General features: G+C 40.3%; 1 long non-coding RNA gene across 1 annotated transcript; it reads right to left on the reverse strand.

Annotated features, from left to right (window-relative positions):
• Positions 1–2,452: 2,452 nt before the first annotated feature.
• On the reverse strand, positions 2,453–6,008 carry LINC01593 (long intergenic non-protein coding RNA 1593). The gene is made up of 3 exons (NR_135071.1): positions 5,887–6,008; positions 2,815–3,038; positions 2,453–2,494 (listed from the first exon to the last, which is right to left on the reverse strand). It is a non-coding gene; the product is annotated as a long intergenic non-protein coding RNA 1593 (long non-coding RNA).
• Between the last annotated feature and the right edge of the window lie 3,339 nt (positions 6,009–9,347).

Consider the following 9,347-nt stretch of genomic DNA (forward strand, 5'->3'; position numbering starts at 1 on the left):
AGTTCTATTCTTATTTTCCTTATCTATGAGGTAGAAACATTAATATATTTCTCTGAATATTGGTATGAGTGTCATATATGAGATAATGTGTATAAAAGAAGTTCATATAACAAATAATTATACAAATATTGAATATAATTGTTATAAAATATTTATCAAAAAAATGTAAAAGAGAATATTGAAATACTTGTTTAAGGGGTATATTATTTAAAGTCCAAGCAGGAAAGAGACTGCACATTAACTGCATAATTTTAGGATAGTTTAAATAAGTGACTATTCACAAAGATGTGTGCAGAATGTAGGAAAACCACAAGGACTCTGGAGCCAGCAACAATCAAGGGGAATGTTGATAGGTAATGTCAATGCTGTCATTCGACACTTGAAATCTCAAAGCCACTACTGTTAGAAAGGAAAACAGAAAAAGTTCATTAACAGGAAACAGCTCTTGGAGCCCCAGTCCTACAGCTGCTCATGCAGCCTAAATTGGTGGTCATTGCAGCTGCATATTCCACTACCTCCTCTTTGTCCCTCTCCTTCTGCTGTATTGCAGTTGCAGAGGTTGTTTACCTAGTGGAATGAATCAAACTTTTGTTTCACTGGGATTTGATTCCTTGGTGGCCTGTTGGTGGTGGTAGGTTTTTTTGTTTGTTTTTTTGTTTGTTTGTTTTGGGGGGTTGTTGAATAATTTTACTGGCCAGTACTTTTTGACAAGAGGGTAATAGGAGACTCCCCAATAAATCCTCTGACCCAGGCATAGTCTCCCTTATCCCCACTGTATAACAGCAAGCTAAATTTACTTTGGTAATTGAGATCAATCCCTACGGCCACCACAGTGACATCTGTATCTGTTTGTTTTATAGCTTGAGGAAGCCAAAATGGCAAGTGGCAATCTCAGCTTCCAGCTCAATGGAAGGATGATAATATTCCTGGATGGAAGCACTCACTCCTTAGTTATTAGGCCTTCTAAATACAGAAGGCCTAGGTTATGGGAACAGAAGGAAAAAAACTCAAGTAGGTTAACAGGAAGAATTCTGAAGGAGACCATTTGCACTTCTCCTTAGTTACCAGATCTGAGCATTGTGTTAATGATAGACATAACACCATGTATTCTCCACTGGTTAAAGGCATATGCAACACATATAAGAGTGTAGTCCCACATCATGAGGTGTGGGCTCTAACTAGGGCCATGTTTGAACCTTCAGCAAGCCATTCACTATTCCATCAGGCCAGATGCTTCTGAGGCATGAGGATCTTGGTAAGAACCCATGAACCTCAAGGTTGCAAGCCCATTACTACACTTCCTTTGCCGTAAAATACATCTCTTGGGCAGAGGCAACATTGTGTGTCAATGAATATGGCATTCTGTAAGTCCAGGAATAGTAGTTGTGAAAGAAGAACTGCAGGTAGGAAAATCAAATCTGTAAGTCAAGTATGTGCCTACCCATGAAGTGCAAGGATTTGGGTTTAATATGTTCAGCAGCCACCATGTGGCTGACTGGTCCCCTGGGGGATGGTGAAAAGTGAAATCTCAGAGTTGGTTCCACTGTTTGGCATGTGGGTCACTCATCCCTTTTCCTTCCTTGTGATCTCCTTCTGCTGCTCTCCATGGTCCAAACCCAACCACAAATCAGTGTCAAGACTTTCAGATTTCTCTATTTTCAAAGTAGAAACTCTGAATTCCATGGGACACTCTAGTATCTTTTCTCCCTGTCTCTCATTCCCACCCTCCCTCCACCTTCACTCTTTCCCTTCAGCTATAACACCAGACTATTTTTTGTTTCATTTTTATTGATGCAGTAATTTCCTTCACAATATGATGGGTGAGGATAAATAACTACTTCTGTATAATGCTGTATTTAATTTTTGTTTTGTATTTGATCACTGAGATAACATTCTTTGGTGGCTGTAGTAAACTTTACATGTATTTCTCCATGTCAAATCCCACATTTAAAATTCTCCTGTCATTATTATGGCCCACAGGAAGGTGTGAAATTATGTCAGCAACTCTGTGAAATTTAGTGATGGCTGAAAACCAAAGTCCTTCTAACATTCAACATATGAACATCAGCCAGTAGATAAAATGTATTTTCTCATGTGTGTCTAGTTCTCTCGTTTTATTATGGAGCATAAAGCTGGCATCTAAATCACAGGGAGCTAGAAGTCTACTGGCATTCCATTATACAAGGCCTCCCATTGGAAATCAGGCTTCAGGCACAATAAATAAAACAGAGCTAATGGTGGCAACGAATTGGAGAGCTGAGAATGTATATGGCTATCGTGAGGAAAAGGGTGACTGTTTCATTATTGCTGCTTGGCAATATTTCACTGTTGTATGTGTATGGAAACGATTCACATGATAGAGAACTTTCGTGATGCAATAGTTTTTCTTTTGTGCTCTAACAGGAAAAAGGTAAAATTCAAAACCACAAATTAAATCCTTAACTTCCAGATGAACCTCATCACTGAAGAAATGAATATCGAGCTTTTTAATGATCTGTAAGAAATGCAAAACAATGTCAACATCAGTGTTTTGGACTGTAATGAACCTGTGGTTAACCTTTCAAGATATGCAGCCAGCGGCTTGTGCTACAAAAATGGGCTCCAGATAGAAATGATATTTCTCACCCAGCAGGGTGTTTTCCATTAAATTAAAATGTTCAATATTTCTGCACACATTAGCTTTACTAATTGAAACTAATTTAATGCTCTCAAAAAGCTTAAGAAGCAAATGTGGAGGAACACTGGTATTGAGTGGATTGTGCTGACTGATTAGCAACGTGTTTCTGTAAACAGGCAGCACAGTGGTTGGCCTACCTGTTGGTGTACTGTTAGACCTTGATGAAAAATGTCAATTTGCATTTGCATTAATGGCCTTTGACGTCGGTGCTTCACACACTGTTTGCTGGCCTTCTCAGTAGGTACGGATGCCAGCCTCCCTCAGGATGGCTTGCCATTTGCATTAAGTATTTATCACAGAGAGAAATAGTCATGGCCTGGCACAACACAAACGATGGATTTGGAGAAATCCAAGCAAGTCCCTGGGGATAGAGAAAAAGGAATGTGAGGCTTTTGCTTTCCTGAGATTTGATGGAATCTTTGAAAAGCTGCTCACCCTTTTCAGTTGGCATGACTACAAGTAGTCTACATTTGTTTATGTCAAGTTGTAAAATTTACCATGCCTATTTATATATACATTCAGTAGCCAGTCACGTAGTCAACAAATAGTTTTGTTCAGTGACTACACATATTAGACACAGCTTCAAGAAACTGCTCTGATATAATGTCCAATTCTAGTGGTAAGAACTAGTTGATAAATATCTCTGTGTTGGCATAACCTCAGGGAGAACCTTTCTGTCCCTTCCTAAGAAGATGATCTCTTAGACTGGCTCATTCCAAATGTGAAGCTGAGAATGCCTCCTGTGTGCCATTGCTCTGCATGCGGTTTACTGGAGTGGGGAGGAACACTTGGGGAATTCCAGAACAGAGCTGAATATAAAAGGAAAGGAAAATAGCACGTAAAAAAAAAACGCAAAAAAAAAAAATGAGAAGAGACAGAGCTTGAAAATGAGAAGGAAAGACACAAAAACAGGTAAAAAAAAAAAAAAAAAAAGCAAGAAATTGAAGCAACCCCCTCTAAACCCAGCAGCAACAGAGCACCCTGTGGCTGGTACCAGCAGTGACTCCATTCACCCTCAACTTTTGTTGGGTACATGTCACAGATTTCATTAATTCCTCCCAAAAAAGCAATGATAAATATGTAGGGTATATTTCATATGATAGAATGAAAATGCTTTCTTATGTTCCTTGAGGTGCTATTATACAGACACACCTTCTATCAAAAATATAAGTATGACATAGGTTTTGAAGCTGGCTATCTTCGCCTTGGAAGTGTCGCAACAGATCTACTTACTTACAATGAAGACAGTGCTTCTCACTGGAGTCTTTCAAAATCTCTCCAGAAACAATGATCTTAGGCTATGCTGTTTTATCGGGACTATTGTGAATGTATAAACTACTCATTGCTGGTAATGGTAAGCTGAATGGAAGCTATTGAGTAAGTAAATGTGTCTTCAGAGGTCCTTGTCAGCCTTTGAGAGAAAAAGGACACTCACTTATAAATGCAACAAATATTTATTATAGACCTCCCATATGTCAGGATCTGGCCTCAGTTCTGGAGATAGAGCAGTTGAATAAGAGGTCCCTGCACTAGTAAAATGCTAATCCTACATATTTATCATACTCCCTACCTCTCAGGAGGGACCCATCACCCATGGAAGTGACCTAGACATGTCAGGTTTCAATCCCAGTGTTCTAGGGACTCAATCTTGAAAACATAATTGGTTAGGCCTCTTCTTCTATCTCTGTCTCTTTCTTTTTATTCCACCAATGTCGTAAGGATGAACAGGGTGGCCAAAAGATCCTCCCCTCTCCTTGCGTCCACTCCAAGCACTGGTAAAAAACAAGGTCTATCTTGCTGATTTGAAGAGAAAATGATTCACTTCATTTTCTCCAGTGCCAGAAACTGTGGCAGAATCTCCTGTCCTCATTATGCATGGTGAGTTTCACAGTGGAGGAGGTAATAAGGGAAGTTCTGGTGACATTTTAATTAAGAGACCTAGAAATGCCTAAATCCTACTGTGATATCACTGCTCCCACCTTCCCATCTTCTCAAAGAGCAGTTATGCACAGAGGAAAACAGCCACAGTAAAGAAACCTTTTATATGTGGCTATGATATGGCTCTTCAACTTAATGTACAACTTTTGCACTAGAGGGACACAAGAATAGCTTCATTTTGCTATGCTAAAGAGGCTGAATGTCTTAGACCAAAGCTGGCCATGTTTCCCTGGGATCGGGTGGAGGTTCAGAGGACTTCCTTTCTTTGAAGGCATCACTACCAACTTCCCTGTCTGAAGCCCTCCTTAGTAAATTGTCCTGAGGCACAGTAACAATACCACCATAGCAAACAGACTCAATTACAGGCTGGGCAGTATTTAGCTGTACTCAAATTGCCTCAGCCTATGGCCTTGTCATTTCCATCATTATGGCCCCAAGACTTAGTTCTTATCTTCATCCTAAATCTTGATATTGCAGTACTATGCACTGGGTTCCCATGGTAGCCCGCAAGAAGTCTTTGTTGCCACATGTCCCTCCTGTAATCACTTAGATCCATGATCTCCCTCGGCTTTTGGCTGTCATCCCATGATGTTAAAGGCTTGTGTCCACCCCTCTCCTAGTATTTGGAGCCCAGTCCCCAAAAGTCTATCTAGTGATGAGATCCTTGTTCTCCAAAGCAGACGCCCTGAACATTGACTTGCAGCCCACAGGGCTCTCCACTTGCACACAGCCTCATGCCTCTACTTCTATGCTGCTGTTAGGGCCAGCTTGGAGCTCCAGGGCCAGCCATTGCCTCAAACAGGACCGTTTGGAATTGTACTAACACATTGGGCCTCTCCCACCTGGCTGAATCGCTGCCTCCATCGCAGACCACCATCCACCCCATCCTGTTCTGCTGGATGAGAGTTCCTGACTCCTCCCTTCTGTTCCATGTTGACATAAAACCATCATGCCTAAAATCTAAATTAATGGCACAAAAACCCACACTGTTCTTCCCTCCATGGGACTCTCTTCCCTTCCCAGATTCCTTAAACCTCACGCCTTCTCTTCTAATCAAGGTGTTTCTTCAAGAAAAGAACACGGGAGATGTGTCACTTCAACGTGGCAGTAAACTAACAGGGCTTCATCGTAAACCAGGTATTTGGAGCCCAGTCTACTGTGGATTCTCCACAGTGAAGGGTGAGCTCTCCTGGTTACAGGAGCATGGAACATTCAGAACATATGTGGGGGATGTTTGGGGACATAAGGGTTTCCATGTGTCCCTAACTCACCTTCAAGTAAGATGGAGACAGGCTTACAGGGATGCTACGCTGAGATTATTTTTCCCTGAAGAAGCCCCTCAGCTTTCCGTCTTCCTCAACCTGTCTTCTGTGTTGTGCAGAGGTAACCAGATCCTCGTCAGAGTGTCCAGAAGCTCCCTGCACACACAATGCAGAGTGTGAAGCCAGAGCCAGCCAGGCAGGGCACATTACAGTCTCCAACCTTGTAGAGACTCACGATTCCTTCTTAATCTCAGCATTCACAAACCCATAAATGAGAGCAATGGTACTTGCATTATCTGTTGAGAGAAAAACATATTGGCAAAAGTTACGAGATGCATATAAAAGTTCTATATAAAATGTTGAATTTGTTAATCATAACAAGCTATACACATATAGAAATAAATAGCTGTATGCGTGGGCAAGAAAAGCTGTCAGCCCAATCCATAAGTCACGTACAGTGTACACATGAGGGGTCCATATGCCTGGCTCTTACTCCACAGCCCTGAAAGTTTCTTGTTCTGAAGGTATGTGCCACTGGGTCTGTGTTATTAGATTGTGCATAATTTCCCACTAATAGTAGGAGACTTCCTGGTCTGTCCCAAGATGTTTGGCATCACAAGCACAACCTGAGCCCCATTTACCAGTTACAGACAGGAAGTTTGGGGCATGGGGAGGGATTCATTCCTCCCAGTCTTGGATCCATGTCCCTGCTAACAACAGTGGAGGGGCGGGGGTAGATGAAAAGTCTTCAGTGAAGAAGAGATCGCTTCTCTTCTCAGAGCAAAGCCAAGGAACAGTAGGCTCTGTGCTTAGTTCATTGACATATCTTCAACATTTATTTGGTCTGAATTACTAGGAAATACTGACCCTCATCCAGAAAGTGATAACCAAATTGGTAACCTTTCAAATGAGCAGCATTTTCTCTTCCTTTGGCCACTCAGTGACCTATTCTATTAAATGGAGATTAGCAATTTCTTCTCTCAAAGATGTAGTACCAAAACTACATGGAGAAGATAGAAACATATTTTCACACTTCTCCTTTATCCATAAGGGAAAAAGAAGTTATCCCTAAAAGTCATTTCTTTTCCCTTGGTGAGGCAGCCGCTGGTATTTCTATTATCCCTTGTTGGTGTTTGGATCAACTGTCCTCTACATCAATTTATGCTCTTAGTAAGTCTTCAATGAATCATCAGAATCAAGGCTTGTCTAAGGCAACATATTTCAAAGATAGAAAAAGTTTCCAAAGATTTATACATCTACTTCTGAGAAAGAAATATAAATTAAGCCTTCAATTTCCTTCCTGAAGCTCATGAATAAAATCTACTTTCTGGGTAAGTTCTATGAATAAGACTTCCTCAGGGCCTAAATATACTGTTGTTTATTAATTTCATTTTCCTGCCAAGAAAGTATTTTTTCCAAAGAGGCAGTGAGTCTAATTATTGCCAAGAATGATCACAACCCAAGTTTAGAAATTACGGAGTTGAACAATATGCACCTTAATTCTCTACTTTCTTGAAATAAATGCATTCTGCATTCTTTTGGTGCTTATTGAGAATCAGTTGTGTGTCAGGTCTTGTTAGCAATGAAAATAGGAAGGTGAAAAAGACACAGTCCCTTTAAGTTCTGGGAAAGCACAGTGTGCAAGGGAAGCACTGGAGAAGTAACTGGTCCAATCTTGGGGAGACGGAAGAAAGCTTCCATCACTGAGGGCAAGGGACACCTCAATGAGACTTAAGGAAGAGTAGAAGTCATGGGACAATCTAGACCAGTGCTCCTCAAAGCAAGTACCATGCATGGGTGTCAATTCATAAACTGCCTGTTATCGTAACAAGATAAGTATAAAATTGAGAGTAGGCATTAAGAAGCTTTTAGAGCAATTGGACAAATATCCAAATGTGATCAGCAGACTTCTATTTTATGTTTTTATATTTGTTTGTTTCTAATAACTATTTTCAATTGTATTTTATAAAAAGATGTAGTCTACAATGGATTGGGAATTTAGAAAAAGAAAAACTGGCACTTTCTCATCCAGGATTTGAGAAGCAGTGATCTTGTGTGTGGCTAGGGAGGGCTGGGAAGAGGGCACAGAGCAACAGATTCTAAAGCTTGCCTCTGAGGCTGGAAAGACAGGCATGTTCTGGGAACTGCAGTTCCTCCCAAAGCATCATCTCCTAAAATACATTCTCTCCTTCCTACAGCTCACAAGCAATCCTTTCTCTGATCATGGTAATTCTTAACATTGTACATGCTCTCTATGTGTCTGGCACTCCATTAAGCACTTTATCTGTGTGATCTAATTGTTATAACCAGATGACAAGGTAAATGCTCTTATTTTTCTTATTTTGTAAATGAGAGAAGTAAGATTTGGCAAGGTAAAACAACTTACCTAGGTTACATCCAGAATCCCAACCCAAGAATCTCTGTCTCTATTTATTCATCTAGTCTATTTCCTAGAAGTTGTTATACATTAACTTCATAAAATCTTTGTATTTGGGAAACTCCATCCCTTCATTAAGAAGTTGGAGAAAAGCTTCCAATTCTTCTCATCTTCTTAGCTATCCCCAGAGTTATCTCTCCTTCAAACAACACAACTTTAAAAAGAAAAATATCTATAACCCTAGTGTTGTTTCTTTTCCCTGCAGATGATCCAAGCTTTCACCTGTTTACCTTTGAGATCTGCTGTGAAACATAATCATGGCTTGAGCTACCAAAAAGCACATATGTCAGTTTGATTTCTGATCCATTTGTTCCAAGTACATTTGCTAGTATAACTTGCAGTCACTGGGGTTTTGAGAACTTTCATGAGGATCCTTTTTTTCTTCTTCTTGCTCGTTTCAAACTAAATCAGAGATGATGATGACTGCAATAAACTCCACTGAGATGATTAGTGCTCCCTGAAATGTGGCTCTCTCTGGCAGGGCTGCACTGATTGTTCATCACCCAGCTGGTTTCCTTTATACTTTATACCACCTGCCACAGTGGTACTCCTGGTCTCAGGGAGGTTGCCAGCTGACAGGGTAAACAAACAGCCAAACACCCTGATTGCAAAACTTTCTAAAATGCAAACATCTCTCCCAAGTGCCAAGACAGAAAGCTTTTTAAGTTTAATTAAGTTTTTCCAAATGTATTCCAGTCATCAGAGAAGTACAACTCCCCATGAATTTTGCCTGTGGTGATAAAAAGGTTTGAGTGTATTCCATGAGGTGACGACCATATGGGCAGCTTCTCTGAAAGAGATAATGAACAGAGCTATATTTCAGAGAATTTCAAGGAGTTTTTCAGCAGGAAAAGGTATTAAAGGTTATCTCAGATAATCTGAACTATTTTATAAAAATCAAATTTTAAAGGAAATCATCTCGTCTCCCTTCTTACACATATTATGATAACAGCACATTCAACCTGGGACCCATAATTTTATCCCAATTCTTTACTTTCTGGATTAAATTGCTGGGGAGGGGGAGGAAAATTGG

The sequence above is a fragment of the Homo sapiens genome, chromosome 2, assembly GCF_000001405.40.
Source record: "Homo sapiens chromosome 2, GRCh38.p14 Primary Assembly".
NCBI classification, from domain to species: domain Eukaryota; kingdom Metazoa; phylum Chordata; class Mammalia; order Primates; family Hominidae; genus Homo; species Homo sapiens.